Consider the following 22,390-nt stretch of genomic DNA (forward strand, 5'->3'; position numbering starts at 1 on the left):
GGGCAATAATTTTAAAAGTATGATGAAGTGTCATAAAATCTATTTAAAAGAATACCCTTTTAAGGATTTGACAAATAAATGCAAAAATCCAATAAATGCTGTATTCCTTCTTATGTACTCTTTTGGTCAAGATCTCAAAAATAAACTTAGAAGATAATCTAAATATATTATGAGTAACTAAGAGGTAACTTTGTAACACATTAATAACTATTTAAAATGCTTTAAGTTTTTATTGCCATTAGATTGCCTGCATTACTGGTTAGCCCAAGGGGATCTGGTATTCTCTAATTGGCATTCAGCTAAAATAAAACTTAAAATGCACAAAACTAAGCAAACTTTTACCTAACCTTATCATCAAATTGCAAATTATAGTATTGTATTGAAGAACATGCAAGAGCATGGGATTAATTTCCTATTTTATGCTTATATTAAAAATGGGTACAGATCTTTATGAAATACATGGGCCATTGCCTTTGTAGTTATTGTTTGTTTCCCTCTGGCTTTTACTCTTTTTTTTTTGTAGTTATTGTTTCCCTCTGCCTTTTACGTTTTTTTTTTTTTAGTGTCCTTTGCGAAGAAAGAAGTTTCTTTGAAACTCCTTTTTGCTTCCAGGCATCATATGTAAATCCTTTCGTAATGTGATGGTGGAATCCTGCCACCTAGTGAAAATTGCAAACATCAAGAATGAACCATAAAACAGTAGATGAAAAGCAGAGTTTTTATTACTGGAAAGTTCCTCCGAGGTCTGCAGTTCAACCCATGAATTTTAGATGAGGAAAGAGCCCAGAGATGTTAAGTAACTTGCCTTAAGTTTTCAGCTTGGAACTGGCAGAGTGATTAAAGGCTCAGAAAGGTGGTTTTGTTGGGTTCCTTTAGGAGTCAATAGCAGGCAACCTCAGATAAAATATGAATGCCCAATTTAGCATATGTAGAATTCATGACACTGAAGCAGATTTGTCCTGAGTCTAGAATAGCAGTTGGCTGGCTCTAGGTATGAGATTTGGGTTCTAATTCCAGCTCTGATCTAACTTGCAGCCTGGCCTTAGGAAAATCTCTCACCCTTCCTGTCTCATCGGTTTCTCTCTCTCTCTCTCTCTCTCTCTCTCTCTCTCTCTGTGTGTGTGTGTGTGTGTGTGTAGGGAGAGAGAGACAAATATTTTAACTTAGGTGGTAAAGAAGTAAGAAAGAAATTGGACTGTGCAGTCTACGAAGCTCTGTCTTGCCCAAGTATTCTACGATCCTGATAGTGTACAGTTTTAGAATCGCTTGCCTACTAATTGAAATATGGGGACAGAGTGGCTGAGTGCTGTTGTTCTCTGGTGGCTCTTTGGCAGCCAGGCCTCAAGAATAGAGTGGGTAGTGGGTTTCTTCTGAGTTCTGCATGTGACGATTTCAATGTGGGACCTCTTTGCGGCGATTCACTGAAGAGCTGAAGCAGATTGCTAGGAAAGGGTGCTGTGGAGATTCTCTGCTAATGGCATCTCTATTTTCAGGATTCAGTAAGGTTGTTAGGCTATGTCAGAATCCAGTCCTACACTCCCCCTAAATCATCCTTCCTAAAATACCCAGCAATACATTTGTGGTTTTCAAAAGATCATTATTAAGGCATCTAGATGTTTGCTTTGCTTTTGTAGTTTGTGATACTATACTTAGAGCTATAGATTTTAAAATATCATTATAAAAGTATCTGGAAGTTTGCCTTAATTTTTGTGTGTTTGTGTGTGCAAGAGAGAGAGAGAGACAGACTGTAGTCTACAGTCTACCTTTTGTCCATACGTTAAAAAGACTAAAGAGCTATCTATAGAAGATGTAAGTTCTAAATTACTGTGGCAATGCACAATTTTTGTTGGTCTTTTTCTTTTTTTAGTTCAAATGATTATGTTTGATTTCTTATACTAGCATTATTTGTGGGAGAAATCCCTTGGAACAAAGCGCTTATCACTTTCTCTGTTATCAAGGCCATTGCCTCATTAGGATCACTGTATTTTATTTAAAATATTAAGTCAATTCAATTCTATTCATGGTATCTCAATGTGTTCAAGGCAAAGTGAATGTTGCTTGGGCATAAACTTTCTCTTCTTGTAAGGACTGGTGATAGCTTATTAGGGCTGGATGCAAGGAAAGAGACAGAAAGGCTAGAGAGATGGTTGCTGTCAAATCAAATGTTCACAGTTTTGAATAACATGCACAAAATTAATTTGGGAGTTGAAGGAAAACTTAAATTTTCAAAGAAAAGAAAATTTCGGCGAGTGCTTGAACCATGCTCCTTAAAATGGGAATGCTACAAAGCAGTTCTGTAGACAATAACACATTTTGGCTTTTTGTGAAATATCTACATATTTAGGTTTTTCATAATTCTATATAGAGTAAAAATCTAACAGGCAGAAATAGTGCAAAAAAACAGTCTAATGTTATTAAGAACAATAAAAAATTGAATAACTTTATAATTCCCGATAAATATCCTTATATTGACATATTTAGTCACTTCTGAGATATGTTCAAACATGTTTAGTATTTGGTTAGCTGGTTGAACTATACGCAAACCCCAAATTTTAAAGATAAATAACAGGAATATTCATTATCAAAACTTGTCATTGACGGTTAAGCTCAATGGCACGAAAATCTGTTTTGTTTTAAAAAATAAACCAAATTTTTAAAAGCCCAAGTAATCAGTAACATAAGCTTGTTTTTAAAATGTTTGTATATCTTTTAATTTATATTCTAAATATATGTGATGGGAGGCAAACATTTCTAACACTGAGTTATAGCATAACACTCTGCAAAGTATATTTTCAAGAGATTATAAACAGAAACAAATTTATCCAAACAGAAAACCCCACTGTGTGTGCAGATAGCTTTACAAAAAGAATGTGAGCACTTCTTCTTTATGAAACTCTCTCTTTTGGGACATGTACTTATCTGGCCCTGTCTCAGGACATACTTTTGGCAAATCACTTTGAAAAATCCTCATATAAAGGAGTGGGGAGAAATTTTTGTTTTACAAAAAATCTTACCTGCAATTGAAAAATTACTCACATTTTGAAAATAATTAAGAAAAAAATGTTCAGACTGTTTATCCTTTATATGTTTTAATATAGTTAGAAATTTATTTTTTCTTCAAATCTTATGCACCACTATAGTATGTGTTCTACTGAATTTAGTTCAAAGTTTCAAATAATTGTTCATTAAAATTGAGGTGACATTGTATAATCCTTCATTTCATAAGGCCAAAATGAATTTAATAATTCTTATCTATTATTGGATATGTGTTCTTTAAGATTTTGAATAAAAATGTATTATTTACACAAAGCACATTTCAGATAATATAATTCTTATCCCTTAGTGCCATCAGTAAGGTTTTTAAAATGTTTCAAATAGAAGAATTCCAGAAACATAGGTATTTCTAAAGGGGGAAAAAGATTTTAATGTGTTTGAATATGTATACTTGAGAATAAATGCTCCTTCCTATATATGAAAACTGGTAATATCTTTATTAAAATATGCTTAATCACTTAATCTTTAAATTGATTTTAAGCCCTTTCTAGGAATTTTAAACACAGACATGCTTATAGAAGTTAGTGTGCTCTAGATAAATCTATTAAGTAGGCGATATTAAAAAATCCTTATTTTGGAATTGTATATTTTAAGGGAGGTTTCTGAAAGATGACAATGAGATAAAATATTCATTATGCATGAACTTTGCCATTAGCTGGACGTAGCACATATGTAGCTTACATGTGTCAAGCCCTTGCTATGTGCCAGGAAAATTTGCAAGTGCTTTGCTAGTATTATCTCTTCAAATGTTCCTCAAAACCTAAACAGTAGGTATGAAAAAATCCTCATTTTAGAGATGAGGAAATTGTGGCACAGAAAGGCTACATTGCTTGCCAATGGTTAAGCTACAAAAAATGATGAGATTTGATTTTTCTTCTTCCTTATTGGTGGAAACAGGTGCCCGAGAGGATAAAAGTAGGTTAAAGTGGTCCCAAAAGGAAAGATTATTTAAAATAAATACCATAGTTTGTACCCAACCTTGATTTCATTATTGGTCTGGGGTTCACCCTGGACATCAGGATTTATAAACATTCCAAAGGGAATTCTGATGTGTGGTCAAGATTCACAACCACTGCTATAGAAAGTTAAGGCCAAAAAATTCTGATGTTCTACTGCACAGCAGGGTACTATAGTTGATAATAACGTATTGTATATTTCAAAATAGCTAAAAAAAAAAGGAGTTTAAATGTTCTCGTCACAAAGAAATGATAAATATTTGAGGTGATGGATATGCTAATTAGCCTGATTTGATCATTCCACAATGTATACATGTATCACTACATCACGTTGTACCCCATAATACATGCAACTATTATTTGTCAATTAAAAATAAAATAAAACTTAAAAAAGAAGATATATATATATATGAATATATATTATATATATTTTGCTGGTTCATGAAATCATCATCATCAATCATCTAAGATTCTTTACTGCTCTGATGTTCTATAATTGTCATGAAAATTCAAGAAGAGGTTAAAAAAAAAAGTGAGGCCAGATAGGTCCCCATAGGGCTTGACGGGTGGTGGCACATTATGTCCCTTCCGCCCTTCCCCACTGCCTCTCTCCTAGTCAAGTTAAGAGGAAGATCAGAGAGAGGCTAAAAATTATCTGAGTTTTTGGCACTGTGAGCAGGTCATAATAGTGGTGGGAGGGTTTTCCCTTTCTGAAGCCAGAATGGATGGGCTGCCTGGGTCAGCGGGAGTGGGGAAGAGGAGGTATTGGGAAGCTCCAAAATGATTACTGTAAAGATCAGGGGAACTGGCAAGAGGGGAGACTAGCAGTTTATTTCCTGGTAGCTTGTCTTCTCCATCCGTGGACTTGCTAGCCTGCCTAGTGCCTTCATAAGTGGGAGTGGGTGGACGTGTTGGGGGAACGTCGGGGGAACGTCGGGGGAACATCAGGGGAACAAAACTGGAGAAAGATGCAGGGGGAAGGAGAGTAGGAGAAAAGGGAGGAAGAAGAGAGAGAGAGATAATATGATTTGCTTTAAAAACAATTGCCTTTGTTTAATACTCAGTAAAAGTTCAGAGTTCTTATTCTAAGTTGAGAATTCTATATTCTGACAGTAATATTCAAGAAACACTTCTCTAGGCTAACTGAAACTATACATCTACCTAATAGCAAAAAGCATCCCAGGTTACTAAAGTCTGATTCACATTTTAAAAAAAAAAAAAGAAGAAAAAGAAAGAGGAAGAATATACACTTCTTGTTATGCCCAGTCAAATTTTCATTCATTTTGCCTAGAAATATTAGTTTCAACATGATCATCAATGGAAGTCACATGAGTTGGTGATAAGTTTTCATGACTAACATACATAAAGAACACGTGATTGATATGAACCTGTGTGATGTAAATGATTTTTTTTAAGGAGTGTCAACTCATTCCATTATAAACATATATTTCTTCCAGTAACTGCTTTCAACATGATAAAGATGAATCCCTTTGTTAGTAACATTTTGGGCAGATCTCATCTTTTCTGGTGGCTTTTGGTTATTAAAACAGTCAACTTTAATTAAAGCTTCAGTCAACTATCTGACTCTAAACTCTTTCCCTAGTCACTGTGGCCAGGCTTGTGGCTCCAGGGTGTGGCATGGAAAGGAGGGTACCTGCTCTTTACCCATATCCCTCTAGCCCCTCCATGGTTGAGGGAAGGAGGAAAGATGTGAAGAGGAAAGGGGCAGATAGATATATTTATTCATAACTGAATGAGGTGGCGTTTCTCTCTTCTTTGGGTGTTGTGCTTCTTTGGTTAATGTGAGGACCCATTAATGTCCTCTCTGAGGCTGGTGTCCAAATTCTGGAGCATGTGTATGGTTTCTTCCGGGAGAGCTAGAGGGCCTCATTAGTGCACAGTCCCCTAACACAGGAAATCAGGCTTCTGATAATCTCTTCTGTACCCCCTACAAGCCCATTGGTTCATCAAGATACCAGCTTTCTCCTGCTAGACTCTGGTTGAGTTTGGCCTTTCTGGGTAGGGCCTTGGCAAGATGGTTCAAATCTAGCCACCTTTTAAGATAGTCACTCATCCACAGGAAATGCAAGGATCCTTGCCTTGCCAAATGGGGACATCAGTATGCAGTGTCATTGTGACATACACATTATACCTAACTGGATATTTTGCATATTTTTCATAGCAATCTTCTTAATGTAGCTTCCAAAATAACTTCTCTCTGTCAGTTAATTAGTGTTTAAGAATATAAACGAATTTATATATTTGGCTAAAAATACTTCACATGTGTATATCTTATAATTTCCAAAGTGTGTCTTAATATATGTTATCTCTTTTAATATTAATTCGGTTGATAAAGTTTTATAATTCTCAGTTTATAGATTAAAAAAACTGATCCTGAAAAATAAATTAATTGCAAAAGCATTATATAAAGAAGCCCAAAGTTAAATATAATTCTTTCCCTCTGTTAGGGGCATCAAGCTACTCCCCTGCGTCAGCCTGGATAAAAAGAACAGGCTGTCACTTAGTATTGTTGAAAATTGCAATGACTTTAATACAGAGTTTGTATGAAATAGAATCTCACTAAATCTAACCTTAATCCTTGAAAACATTGATAACAAACTATTCTTTTTTTTAATGGGCCTAAGGAAAATGATTACAGGAACACATCTGTAAGATAATGTGCAATGGGAGAAAGACTGAAAATGGAACCAGTCTGCTTATCAATAAACCTGAAGAATATATGGACTCCAAGTTTATTGTGTCTTTTCTAACAGATTCGTGATGAAACTGAATGCAGTGAGGTTCTTATAAAAGCAAATGGAGAATTTCTGAAACAGATTCATTAAAGAATTCTGAAGAGTAAACACCTTCATGAAGTTAAAAGACTCATCTCAGAAAGAAAATAATGTCTGCTCTTTTGAGGGATATTTCATTATTTGACAACCTCAATGAGAACATGTTTATGGTTTTGGATTACTTTAGGCACCTAGTGTTTCTAAATCGTCTATCATTCTTTTCTGTTTTTCAAAAGCAGAGATGGCCAGAGTCTCAACAAACTGTATCTTCAAGTCTTTGTGAAATTCTTTGCATGTGGCAGATTATTGGATGTAGTTTCCTTTAACTAGCATATAAATCTGGTGTGTTTCAGATAAATGAACAGCAAATTGTGGTGGAATTACCATTTGGAACATTGTGAATGAAAAATTGTGTCTCTAGATTATGTAACAAATAACTATTTCCTAACCATTGATCTTTGGATTTTTATAATCCTACTCACAAATGACTAGCTTCTCCTCTTGTATTTTGAAGCAGTGTGGGTGCTGGATTGATAAAAAAAAAAAATGAAGGATGACCTTTCCTGAACAGAATTATGGATTTATGTCTGTATTAGTTCATTTTCACACTGCTACAAAGAACTGTTTGAGACTGGGTAATTTATAAAGGAAAGAGGTTTAATTGACTCACAGTTTCACATGGCTGGGGAGGCCTCAGGAAACTTAGAATCATGGGAGAAAGTGAAGGGGAAGCAAGGCACATCCTACATGGCATCAGGAGAGAGAAAGAGTGAGTCGGGGACTGCCAAACACTTTCAAACCATCAGATCTTGTGAGAGCTCACTCACTATCATGAGAACAGCATGGGGGAAACCACCCCCATGATCCAATCCCCTCCCACCAGTTCCCTCCCTCAACATGTGAGGATTGCAATTTGAGATGAGATTTCAGTGGGGACACAGAGCAAACCATATCAATATTTTATGTGATTCTACCTATAGATACTCCCCCTTCCTTCACCCCTCTTCCTTCATCCTGTTTAACAGAATTTACCTTCTTGAATTTCACCTTTTCAGGACATGTTATTTTTATCCTAGGAAATCTGTAATCATGACCAATGAGTGTCATTTAACCCCAAATATCTTGTCGCCTTTAATAGTATCTTCTGGAGAAAATTTTATTTAAGAAACTCATATATGATGTTTACTAGGTGCCAGGCACTTCTTGAATCACCTTTTAAATATAATGACAGAACTCTGAGGTTACCCTTAGTTAAGATCCCCATTACAGGGGCACAAAGAGGTTAAGTGACTTCTCCAGGTCACATGGGTATGTATGATCAGAGCTGGGGTTCACATCTAAAGAGCCTGGAACCAGGGCTTGTGTTCTAAGCTCCTAGACATGTCACTTTTGGGTCTAGTGTAGTTTGAACAGCCAGTTAGGACGGGAAGACAGCATCTCAACAAGAGCATGCTGGAGAGATTTTTGTGACCCCTTAAACCAAACCTGCTTTTCTTGTTCTGACATTAAGTATAATCTCAATTACTTAATGTCAAATCATTTTATTTGAAACTTTTATTTCCAGAACGAATAATTTAGGAAATAAAATAGAAGTAGGCTAGAAACATTTATAATTCTGCTTTCTGAAGGATGATAATTTTCTATTTTCTTAGCAAGATTTTCCATGTCTTCTTGAAAACTATGGCATGATACCTTGTTTTTGAAGCAAAAACCTTCAAGCAGCTGACCATTTTTGAGAATTTTGTCATGCAGTTCAAGACATATCAGAGGTGAAATTATTAAGAGGTTATAAATCCAATGTGTTTTGCTGGCAGTCTAGATACTGATTTTCTACCTCCTCAGTAGCCCCTATTCCATTTCCTGCTCTGTGTTCCTGCTCCCACCACCTCGGCTCAGGTCCTTATTTTTGTCTCTTAGATAATTATATTGGCCCTGTAACTGGTCTCCTTGTTTCTGGTTTCACATTCCTTGAGTTCATGCTACAGAGAGCTGCCAGAGAGATTTTTCTAAATCACCTGTTATATCACTGCTTAAAATACTTCAAAGGCTCCCCATCACTGTCATCGAGATAACCATAACATTGGTTTTATCTTATGTGCAGACATGGGTTAAGCACTTTAGGAATTATTTTGTTACTAATATTCCTACAATCATTTTTTTTAACAGTGGAGGAAACTGAGGCTTAGAGAAGTTAAGTAAAAAATTGAAGATCATATAGTTAGTAAATGGCAAAACCAGGACAGAAGCCAGTTTGATGACAAAGCCCATGCCCTTAGCTGCCACCCTGCAGTGAGGCTTGTTCACAGGCCGACGGCCCCGCTGTGGCACATGAAGCTCTCTGTGATCTGGATGCTGACAAACTGTCCAGCCCCATCACCTGTCACCCTCCCAGAAGTGCATTTAGCTATTTGAAAATACCACAGTTCTCTCAAACACTGTTCCTCCCTGGTTGCTTCATCCCTGCTGTGTCCTTGGCTGGAATGCTTGTCCACCCCATCTCCTGGCACCTTCCCTAAAATGCTTGGAGAAATTGTACTTACCCTGGAAATCTCTGTTAAAGTCAGTTCTCTGAGAGGTTTGACTCAATTGTCTAGTCGGAGGGGAGCACTTGCTCTTCCATGTTGCTGTGATCACACACAGCTTTCACCTTGAGCTCCCACGTGCAGCCTGACGCTGAAGCTTTTGTTCACAAGTCTGTTTCCTCCATTAGACCAGTGATAGCCAAAAGGTTTGACTGTGCCTCTTAAATTAAAACAATTTTGAGCATATCCCATATACAGGGTGTATGTACATATATATAAAATATAGTATATATGTACATGTACTGATGGGCTAATATTTTATGTACAGTATAAAACATCCCAAAAAGAAAACTTTAAAGCATGAGATAAAAGGTGAAATAAACAATATTTTAAAACTATTTGTATTTTATTTTCTTGACAATACAAAATGTCTTTTTATTCTCACTGACCAGAACTTTTTTTTTAAGTGAGAACAATGTGATTGACAGACTTTTTCAGATTTTGAAAATCTTGATGTGACCCCATGGGGTACAATGATTCAAAGGTCTAGTGAAACTTTATTTCAGTTCTTGAGTTTAAAGACTGTCAAAGCTGAAATGATAATCTCTTAATATATGCAGGTGCACACTGAAGAAATGAATCATTACCTGATAATCATTTTTCATTTTCGTCAATAAATAATGCAACTATTTTTGTTGCAATTTGACCAGTAGATTTTCATTTTCTCTGATGTCTACCCTTTGTTCTTACAAACTAATTGGAATAGGCTACATTTGTATATTTTAGTATTAAACCCTGGCTGTACTTTTTTGTTTTGTTTTGTTTTGTTTTTGAGACGCAGCCTCGCTCTTGTCACCCAACCTGGAGCGCAATGGTGCCATCTTGGCCCACTGCAACCTCTGCCTCCCAGGTTCAAGCGATTCTCCTGCCTCAGCCTCCTGAGTAGCTGGGATTACAGGCACCTGCCACCATCCCCAGCTAATTTTTGTAGTTTTAGTAGAGATGAGGTTTCACCATGTTGGCCAGGCTGGCCTGGAACTCCTGACTTTAGGGGATCCACCCACCTCAGCCTCCCAAAGTGCTGGGATTACAGGCGTGAGCCACCGCACCCGGCCTGCTGTACTTTTTATTTGAAAAATATGAAATTGGGTTAGAAATTCTTCTTCCTAGTTAAATGTGCTATTATGATGTTTTAAAGAATAATAAATTTAAATAATTTCCAGCCCCAAATCACTTGACTATAGAAATATTTTCAAGAATTTTCTTTCATTTCTTTTTGAAAATTTGCTTTCAAAGCAATTCATGTTAGGGAATATATCATGCTTAGTATCCTAAAATATATGTCAGGTGACCAGCAACTAAAAGCCACTCGTCATCACAGAAAACGTCAACAAATTTGGAACATCCATTTATCTGTTAAATAAAACTGAAATATCCTTAGGTTCCACAAGTATTTTAAGGATTTGCAAGAGATACCATTGGAACCTCAGTGGTACAAATGTCTGTATGATATAAAAACTTTTCCTAGTCACTCCCTATATCATTGCTACATTTTAAAGATTCCAGTATGGTTTAAATGTGAGTTTCTATAAAATTAATCATGACCTCCTGTAGCATTTTTGCACTTCTATTATTTTGCTGCATGAACTTGCCTACAAGTAATGCACTGAATGAATTTGATTTAAGGCACCTTTGTAATCTTACCCTAGAATCTCTTTCTCTCTCTCTCTCTCTCTCTCTCTCTCTCTCTCTCTCTCTATATATATATATATATATATATATATATGTCTGTCTGTCTATCTATCTATCTATCTATCTATCTATCTATCTATCTATCTATAGATATTTGTCAGTTCCTGCTAAAGCCAAGTACTTTATCAATGATTATCAATGTACACAGTTTTTCTACAAAATATTCATTTTCTTGAATTAAAGACTTCATATACTTTTGAGAACTTATCTCCAGTATCTTTCTTTCTTGGATTCCCAGAGAAGTAATTTTTTATTTCAGTATTGAAATATAATTTGAAAATGCCATAAGCCGAGATATTCCAGCAACATATATTTTTTTATCCAACCATACAGGAAACTTCCTCCAATATGTAGTTTGTTTTAGTATTATTTATACTAATTTTCTGATATATTTTTCTTTGCATCTTCAACAGTACTTGCAAAAAAATACATTTTGGTTTGTTGCCATATTGTATTATTTTAGCCACTTTTAATTTGTACCCATGATGATCTTTCTAAACATTATGCTTGGCTTAAATTCTGTTAAGTTTTAAATTGAGTATTGCCTGACTTCAACCCTTGTTGAAAAAACAAATCCAGAAGTTTCTGCTGCTCAGATGTTAGTTTTTAAATAGCTTCCTAATCCCAATTGCTTCACAGTAACACTAACTAAACTCACATCATAAGACACAATAAGGCAAAGTTCCTCTGTCACATATTCCAAATAACCCATATTCCAAATTATCTTCTTGACAATTTTGAGTATTTTCTCTACCTGTCACATAGGATTAAGCAGTAATGGTATTAATCTCACAATATGATGAAAAGTATCCATAGGAGCACAGGCGAAGAGTCAGCTCTGCTGTATTCTTGTTTTTCTGTTGTGCTTGAAATGTGTTATCTTTAATTATTAACTTCCTTTCAGACGTATTTTAATAGGAATCATTTTGTGAGAGTCAATTTCCTTGAAACTAGATAATTATATGGAAATTCACTTAATCAGGCATAGTAAAACATAATATATTGCAAAATACTGAAAGAGAATGAATTGACGAGAAACCCTCCACCCTGCTGGGAGGTGGGTCCCCTTTTTGGTGAGGTCACCAAAGCACTGTGGGAAGTACATAACTGTCTGTCTGGCCCACAGACCAGACTGGACCAGGATACCACTGTAAATCCACATAGTAAAGTAGATTCAATGTTAGTTAGTGCTCATTTCCTTTTCATTTTGTAGATGAAAATAAATGTAGATAAGAATCCAGTGGGCTTGTTAGATAGTTGGGGGAAGAGCCTTCCAGGCACAGGGTTCTAAAGGTACAGGAGCCCTGAGACAGAAGTGTGCTTGGTATGGTCAACAAAAGTAAATGTGCCAATGTAGCTGGCACATATTTCCATGACAAATTATTATGAGAAGTCCAGGCTTTCACAGTGATAAAAATGAAAAACTCTCTCTCCTGGGAACTCTGGCCATGTGGTTATTTTCCCATCATTAAATGATTAATGCACAGGTCCTTTAAGAACAACTTTGCAATGTGGTCTTCAAATTTCCTCTTCATCCATTTCGGCTTCTCATGATGTAGCAGCCTACTGACCAGTCTCTAGAGCACCTGTATTCGTCCATTTTCACACTGCCGATAAAGACATACCTGAGACTAAGTAATTTATAAAGAAAAAGAGGTTTAATGAACTCACAGTTCCACGTGGCTGGAAAGGCCTCACAATCATGGTGGAAGGAAAATGGCAGCAGACAAGAGAGAATGAGAGCCAAGCAAAAGGGGTTTCCCCTTATAAAACCATCAGATCTGGTGAGACTTACTTATTCACTACCAGGAGAATAGTATGAGGGAAACCGCCCCCATGATTTAATTTTCTCCCACTGGGTCCCTCCCATAACATGTGGGAATTATGGGAGCTACAATTCAAGATGAGATTTGGGTGGGGACACAGCCAAACCATGTCAAGCACTTATTTAAGTGAATAATCACTACAACCTCTTATGTAACAATTCTGATACAAATAATATTAATCTTTTCTCTTCTTCTGAAATGTATTCTCCCCGTGAGAGAAGAGGAATTTAAGGAGTGTCGAGGAGAATTTTAATACCTAGATCCTGTTTAGATCTGTACTAGATCACTTAGTACTTAGAAAACATTCAAGAGTTTAAAAATTATTATTACCATGTTTAACCTTGACACCATACCTAGAGCAAAGAAGAGTTTTGCTGTATTTTCTAATGTGTCTTAATTTCAGTTCTCCTTAAAAAAATAGATAATCCTATTTGGATATTTTTTGGAAACTAACCCATGGAAAGGATAAAAATATTTCAGTGCTGGTTAAGACTTACTGTGTAACTTTAAAGACATTTTTCAGAGCTTTAGTTTCCTCATCTGTAGAATAAGGTACTATGTAACGAAATTGCTGCCTTTGTAGATAAAAAAAATATTGGAATATTACTTAGTTTTATAGGTGAGAAATCTGAGACCCAAAGAGTCAGTTAATAATATAACTTAGAAGGCTTTTTAAAGACTGTACATTAAGATGATTTCCTTGAAACTAGATAATTATATGGAAATTCACTTAATCAGGCACAGTAAAACATAATATATTGTAAAATGCTGAAAAAGAATGAGCTCATGAGAAAGCCTCTTTCTCTTTCTGTGTACCTGGCACACAGTAATCATGCAGTAAAGGGGTTTGTCGTTAGTATTGTTATTCTAGTTAAAGGAGGAAGTAACTGTCTTCTAAACAAGTTTTATTTATTCAAAAATTAAGAAGAGCAGTAGTCCAATTCACTGAACTCCAGATATACAAATAAAATTAAGAGCACAAAAGCCAGATGGAACAACTTGCGATGATGCTTTTACCCAGTGCAAGTTTTCATTTTTGATAAATATGACATTTCAGAAAATGTTTGCAGTATCAGTTACTAATCAAGATTACTTTGTTATTCAGTTTAATCAGTTTAAGAGAAGGGATCCTAAAATTATGTATTTTATTTGGCCAAATAAAATCAAATGATTGTCCCACTTAAAAATGGTACAATTTTTTTTTTTTAGACGGAATCTCACTCTGTCACCAGGCTGGAGTGCAGTGGCGTGATCTCGGCTCACTGCAACCTCTGACTCCCTGGTTCAAGTGATTCTCCTGCCTCAGCCTCCCGAGTCGCTGGGATTTACAGGCACATGCCACCATGCCCAGCTAATTTTTGTATTTTCAGTAGTTTCAACAAGGGGTTTCACCATGTTGGCCAAGATGGTCTTGATCTCCTGACCTCGTGATCCGCCCACCTCAGCCTCCCAAAGTGCTAGGATTACAGGCATGAGCCACCGTGCCCCGCCAATGGTACAGATTTTTAAAAGGAAATACCTCAAGCTGTAATTAATTGCATATAATTCTGTTGAGCTCTATTTAGAGCAAATGGACTTTCAATATATTAGTCTTTGTGCCTCAGTTTCCTCATTTGTAACATGGGGATAGTCATAACGCTCATTTCCAAGGAGTGTTTTCAGGTTAGAAATTATACATTCAAATCACTTAGTACTTAGAAAACATTCAAGAGTTTAAAAATTATTATTAGCATGTTTGCGGTTATTCTAATTTTATCTAACTAACTTTTATGAAATTAAGGCATATCTGCTGTCTTCTACTCAGTGATTTTTGAGACCCGGATGTCATTGGAAGGGCTCCTGTAGTCCTTGGAGTCCCACCTTGTGAAGTGGCATTTAATAGTTTTAGAATGCTGCCTCACATTTGCTGAATAACCTATTGCCCTTTAATTGGAAACAGCATATGGAAATCATCACGAAGAGAAGAAATCATTTCAAGCACTTTGAAAATATAAAAGAAAATAAATTGTCCTTGGTAAGTAAATATAGGACACTGATCTCTGAATAGTCAGGAAAATTCTGTGCCAGGGCCTTTGGCAAAGGCTAATGAGGATTTTGTTCCCTCCCCCACCTCCACCCCCACATGCTTGTCTTCTAAATTACAAGACCTTATTACTATATAAGGCTGCTTTTTCTAAGTAAATGATAATACATTCAACTCCTTGGAGTTTTTAGCTTTTCAAACAGTGGTGAGTTATTTTCATCAGTCGAGATCAAGCTAAAATGAAAAACAAAATCTGTGAGAGTCGGATAATACCATAGAAGTTACCTTTATTTTTTTCTTTCATGAAAAACATAGCAGTTTCCATTGGATGGTGCTCAGCATAACTGCTATTAGATTGACTTGTGTAAATATTATATTACATTTATCGGTTGCTGTAGGGAGTCAAAATGCAGTGATCCATTTTCAGGTCTCCAGTATTTTGGCTGCTGGCCTGCCAGATGGGGAAATGTTGATCAGAACAATTTTATCTCAGTGCAGAGCTGTGGTCAGGGAGAGGAAGTTCATTACTCCATCCTACCCGCATGCTACAATGACCAGATAGCTCCATGTTGACTAGGTTACTGTGGGTCCCTTCAGCTGCGGACACAGGACTGAGAGTAGACACAAATTCAATTAAGGATCCCATCATGTTATTTATTCCATTATGTTCTTCATGATATCCAATTACCCTGACTCTCTGTTTCTCTTTCTTATTTGAGCTGGAAAATTCCTTCTTCTCTCTATTCACTGCTCCTATTCTCTTAATTGCCATTCTTTCTTTATCTAGATTTTTGAAGTCTCTTCTCCCTGTAGCTTCCTAAGCAAATTGAGACATTGAACCTAATATCGCCTTACCTGCAGAAGAAACAGAAGTGGTACCTGATGTGTGTGTGTGCGTGTGTGTGTGTGTGTGTCTGTGAGAGAGAGAGAGAGAACACAGGAAGTCCGGCATAAATCTGTCTTAATTGATTTTCATGGAACTGTAAAAACATAGTATGGAAAGTTATTTCACCCTTATAGACATTGTGTGATTTTCCAGGAGTGCGTTTCAACAGTCCAGCACATCTCTCATAGAAAAATCTCTTTTCAGGTTTGTAAGATCCTTTACTTCCTTTCATTGTACTTATCCTCCTCCCTTTCCCTGGCCAGCCACACAACTTCCTTATCAGACAAGCTTGTTTTGTCTAGTGAGGCTGCTCTCATGTTCTCCTGAATGTGTCATCCTCATTTGTCACCCGAGTCTCGAATTCTCACATGGGCTCAGTGTCCTGGAGCCACGGTGGCAAGGGAGACTGCAGTCATTGGAACCCTTTCCTATTTGATACTTAGATATTATTGTTTTGATATAGCTAATGTTATGATATAGGGGCTTGTTCCTCACTGGTATTTCTAGTTAAATGATTTGCATTTTTTTGCACTTATGTTGTCACCCTGCTCTTTGAAAGTAGGAACCCCATCTTTTCATAGTTCTTGGCATATTACAAAATAATGCTTTCAAGATGAATGATTAACATATGCCACATAACATGTATAACTAGATACTTAAGGCAGGCTGATATACCTGTTGAAAGGTTGTTGAATAAATGAATGAATGACTGTACATCTTTTATTGTTAGTTCAAGAGTGGCAACTATTGAAAAGCCTGATTTTGCTGAGGTTTTGCTTTTTTTTAAAAAAATAAGCAACTTATATAAAGAGTAATTAGAAGAGTGATATATATATATGTTGTACATGTGTGTGTTCAGATTTTTAATGTAATAGTATGTAGTAACAAGATGCAAATCCAAGAGCTTCAGTGGAAAGACTGTTGATTGAACTGAGAATCAGGAGACCTGAATTCGAGGTATGAGTCTAATTTCTCTTACCTCCATTACCTTAACTATATCACTGACACTACCTGGCTCTCAGTTGCTCTATTTATAAAACAAAAAATTTAGAGTTGATGATTTTAAGGTTCTTTTTGATTAGAGCTATTTTAAATCAAGACAATAATGAGAGAAAGAAAATGCCCATGAGTGGTCATATTGTCTCAGTGAATTTGAAAAATAAGGAAGTGTTTTCTGGAAAGGATAATTATTTATACAGTATTGTTTGGGGATTTTATTTGAATTTCTCCAAATTATAATTTGTATCTTTGTTTAAAAAAGAGAAGAGCTCTCAAAATGCTACCAATTTAGTGTGTACCTTACTAGATCTTTTTTTATGCCTAAAATGGTATTTTAGCAAATTACTATTGAATTCAGCCTTTTCCAATGCAGCTCCTTTTTAATTATTTTATTATTTTTATTTTTCTTAGGAAACAGTTTGCCCAGGCTGGACTGTAGTGGCACCATCATAGCTCACTACAGCCTCCAACTCCAAGTGTTCCTCCCACCTCAGCCTCCTAAGTAGCTAGGACCACAGGTGTGTGCCACCACACCCAGCTAATTTTTTTTTTTTCTATTTTTTGTAGAGACAGGGTCTCGCTTTGTTGCCAAGGCTGGTCTTGAAATCCTAGTTTCAAGCTATTCTCCCACCTCAGCCTTCCGAAGTGCTGGATTACAGGTGTGAGACACTGAGCCTGGCCCTTTTGAAAAATAAATGCTTAATTATTTTCTTTTCCTTATAACTTTTTAAAATAATGAAGCAGTTCCCCACCATACGAAAATGTAATCAATATGTTTTTTAAAAAACGTCATTAACAGTGCATGGATTTAAACACAATTGATCTTTTTATAAATCTAACTTCTTTACTCAAACTTTGGATCCAATATGATTTATAGCTTTTATGTTTTGTTTGCCTTCCCCCACTAGAAATCCCAAAGAAACAACTGATACAGACCATCTTGTAGAGTTAAAACCATTCATTTCCATTATTAAAACTGCTACAATACTCTGACTTAGCTGTCTACTTCTATGAAGCATTCAAATTTGATGGAAATGGGAGAAGAGAGGATATGTTTGACATTGTTCATCTATTCCTTAAACCGCTCATTTGGGTAAATATGTCAAAGAGAAAAAGGAGTCATTGGTATACTTGGACTTGATTAGTATAGTGCCACATCTTAAAATGCACTGTTTCAATCAAATCATGGCTGTGTCCTACAAATGACTTCTTTACAGTCTATACTGTAAACCCCTAAAATAACTAGAATTGAAAATGGCTTTAATTTTTGAAATATAAAAATGACACATTGTCATTATAAAAGTAATTCAAACATTACAGAAAAGGATAAAAATAAAGGAAAAACTATACCAGCCAGAAATACCACATTATTAACACTTTGGGGAGAAAGTTTTCAGACCCCTCTGTACACACATCAACTCACAATCACTCTTACCTTCCATTCCATGAAAAGGAATGGTACTTAATGTGCTTTCTTATTAAATGACACATCATGGACGTCTTTCCATGTCCATGAATACTGATTTACATCATAATTTTTAATGGCTGTGTAGTATTATACATTATATAGATTGACCGTTATTGACTTAACTAATTCCCTATTGAACATGTAGGTTATTTCTAATTTTTAACCATTACAGATAGTGTTGAGATGAATACTTTTGTATATGTAAAAGATATTTACGCACTTTTCTGATCATCCCTCTAGAATAAATTCCTAAATGTGGAGTTGCTTAGTATGAGAATATGATAAATGATGGCTTTCTTAAAATTATTTCCTTTCTTTTATTTTATATTTTTGTAAAAATTAAGAATATGTGAATTAATTTGAAGGCTGTTTTACACATAAAGAGAACTTTTCTTATCATGTACTTGTTACTCATTATATTGGCCAATACAGATTTCTTTTGGCTGATAAAATAAGTATATGTCAATGTCAAATAATCTAGGTAACATACTTCCATTTCTAAACATTTTAAAATATTAATAGTGATTTGGTACTTTAAAAATTGACTTGAAAAAATTTTTGATAGAAGAAAATTCTCACATTTTAGTTCGATTAGATTTCCAGATCGTTTCAGGATAAAAAACATTCGTAAGTATGATCAATGTTCTAAAAGCAATGGGCAGGAAGGTATTAAAGCTTAGGAAGTCTGGGTTTGCAGCTTTTCATGGAATTATCAAGACAGGATAAATCAAATAAAAAAATCTATCCTAAAAAATAATTAAATTCTGGTATCTCTCTTTTGGGAGATACGTGAAAATAGGTTGTGCACATGATAAAGCCTTATAGAACAGGAGTTATAAATGCCGTCATACCACTGCCCTACTAAGGTTATAGGGTCCGTTTCAAGAGAAGGCCGTTGAAATTTGGATCTTGTAATTAATTTTTTGTTCTAATTCACAAAAGTACTATAAAAACCTTTATTTTGTTTTTAATATAGTTTACAGAATTTAGTTTTAATATTGCTTAAAGATTCCTGACCTATCTGGTTGTTAGAAAAAGGAACTAAATAATGTGTTTTTTAAAAGATTGGGCCCCCGTAACATAAAGGCATAGAGGAATGGCCATCTTCTGATCCATTGTTCAATTATCTGGCACTGCAGATGTACCCCTCAACATGCCCAGCAGCCTGACCTGGAGTCCAGATTCATGGGAGTGACTCTGCAATGAAATATGGACACACGGCTCATATGTACCCTCGAACATCCTTGTGACATTAACAAAAAATACCTGTGATTGCAAATTCACACTGAGGGATGCCTAGTATAGAGGATAAAGCTCTTTTCAGGGTTGTGAAACATACGGGGGATGAGAACTGACATACACGTAGACATCTATTCCATTTACATGGCTCTTAATTGAGTTTTGTCTTGGTAATAGGGCTGGTCCTGAGTAAGCCTAGGCTAAAAAGATGTCCCTGGGGGTATTGACCTACAGGAGTTGATATGTTTGGGGGTGTGGGAGAGGGGAGAGCATGTGTGAGATATGAAGATGCCTGTTCCCTGGACTTGCCCAGGAACACTCCAGTGGAGAGAGAGTACGTGGGAACTTAGGAACTGTTTTCCATTAAACTCAGGACACTAATTGTGCCAGAGTCCAGGTGCTAATGTGGGACACAGCACTGTGGAAGGGTGTTTTCCCACTCTTTTTTCTCATACATAGACAGCTTTGATAGTGGCAGATGCAGAATAAATTGTGGGCCCTGCCCACGCTTGGGAAGGCTGGAGCAGAAGATGTCAGTGAACTTATTCCTGTGCATGGAGGAGCAGAGGGAGATGCTGCATCTGCTGCCGGGGCTCTTGAGCCAGCAAACTTGCAATTATTAGTGTCCTGGGAGCATTGCCATTACACTTATATCTGTGTGATTTCCAGGGCCCAGCCTGAGTCCATATCTCTGACTCTTGACAGAAGTTGGTATCCACATACCAAAGGTTATCTATAAACTAAAATAATTACAAATGAGACGACACCGCAGTTGTACAGTGGCATTTACTGATCATTCACAATGCGTTCCTGATCTCTTCCATTTGTTGAAAACAGATGACCTGAGCATAATTCCACCCCCTTCCCCATTATTTTTTGTTTTCCATTTCCAACGTCTATTTTACTATGACCTCCAAATCATTCATGTAGCTAAAGTATTGACGGTTCACCAGTCCCTTCTGGGTTGTTGTGTTCAATCTCAGATTTCTGTCTTTGCAGCAACACATGTGGCTATTTCTCACTGTTGTTTTCTCTTAAAGATTGTTCCAGGTGCAGAGTTTGACATGATGCTTCTCCTCTCCTAAACCCTGACTTGTAGCCTCCTTGTGACAGGAGACATTATGTAAAAAAGATGTCAGGGGAGAATGAAGGGAGAATGAGATCAGTCAACTTTGTTTTTCCTTTCTGTGCTGTGATTGTTTTTCCCTCTCAATTTTCTTTTGACCTTGCATAACACGCCTATACTCATATCTGAAGGAGGTGCGTTGCACCGGGAATTTCCATTTTTACAGCTTTCAAAATTCCCTTAATCTTTATGAGCCCAAATGTTTAGAAGTTACTTGTTTAATTATGTGTGTGTGTGTGTGTTTATGAGAAATATGGTGCACTTAAGTATTGCAAATTTCTGCTAATTGATAAGATAGACAGGGAAAATCAGTGTGCTGATTTCCAAACAAAGAGAAGAGTGCTTTTAGGGACTAGTGGCTTCAGAGAATTTTCACCAACTACCTTCACATTTCATAGAAAAGCTATATTGTTTAAAACTTTAGCATGTGGGTGGATGAGTGTGTGTTTGTGTGTGTGTGTGAGTGTGCAGTCTAATCCAATAGTTCATTCTGAGCTAGGTTAAAAAGAACACAGCACCAGAACAAATTCTTGTTTCTTATTTATGTACCCAACTACTTTTCTTTTTTACTTTTTTTTGAGAATCATCCTTTAAAGTCCAGTTGTTTTCATGACTCCTCTCCCAACAAAACATGAGTACTTTATTTTCTAAAATTGTCAATGCCTTGTGCTGTCAATGCCTGTGCAGTTGGTGCTTAATGATATAGTGTTAATTTATTTTGACTTTTCCCAAGTGTATGTACTTTTCCCCATAGAAAATGGCGAGTCTCTTACAGACAGGAAATATACTTTATATTTCTTTTATCTGATGATTTCTCACACATAAAAGATCTTTAATAAGTATCTAAGAGATCTATCCTGGATTTTCCTATTTATTGTCTGTCCTTTAGTCCTCGGATGAAGCAAAGATAAAAAATTTTTGGTTTAAGAAAATCTAATTGGTACGAGGAGGAAATGTTGAAGCTAATGCATCTTTGAGTTGAGATATCAAATCATTTTATGCTATGCCTAGGTCCATTATCAGGGATAATTGGGAATTGCCTGCATTATAACTGCATGAACTGCCTTGGTTATCTATTAATATGGATCAGTCACAAGGAATTTCTCTGCTTCTCTCTTATAAACTCCAGATGTACGTCTGAGATTAATTCAATCTTTGCTTTCCCCGATTCACCATTTGTTTTTCTATTCAATCTAGTCACCTTTCAAGCAGCTGGAGTGGAAATACCAGAATGTTCATCTCTGATGCCTGATCCTTTCGTTCTTTCTTTTGTTGTTTTATTTTCTTTGTGCATGCATAAAAGTTTCTTGGCAAGTTCCCATGATAGCATTAAAAACTCTATAGTCTCTGTAGTTTGCATGAAGTCTCTGTGTAAGAGTCAAAGGAAAACTATGCATGAAAGATCATAGGGAAGGTTTTGCCATCTCACCATCATGGGAAGAAATAAGAGATACCAACATTTAGAAGCTCTTTAGATCATTAATTCTAGGAGTTGAGATGAGACATGAACTAAAAATTATTTTGTTTACAAATCCCATTTTCATTCAGCAACTCCCCCCCTCCAATCCCACAATAGAGCTAAATACAATGAACACATAGACTTATACAGTAAAGAGAAATTTCCCTAAAGGCACAGAGATGAATGACAGGTTAAGCCAATTGACAGGATCAAGTCTAGGTGCAAAATAAGATTGATTAAAGAATGCCAATGAGTGAAAATTATGGAAAGCATTAATGGGCTCAT

The 22,390-nt window shown here is 36.1% G+C and overlaps 1 protein-coding gene across 5 annotated transcripts in view; it reads left to right on the top strand.

The window, feature by feature from the left end:
- Nucleotides 1-22,390, top strand: part of SYNPO2 (synaptopodin 2) — a 210,567-nt gene that overhangs the window by 38,939 nt on the left and 149,238 nt on the right. The window lies entirely within an intron of this gene.

The sequence above is a fragment of the Homo sapiens genome, chromosome 4, assembly GCF_000001405.40.
Source record: "Homo sapiens chromosome 4, GRCh38.p14 Primary Assembly".
Taxonomy (NCBI): domain Eukaryota; kingdom Metazoa; phylum Chordata; class Mammalia; order Primates; family Hominidae; genus Homo; species Homo sapiens.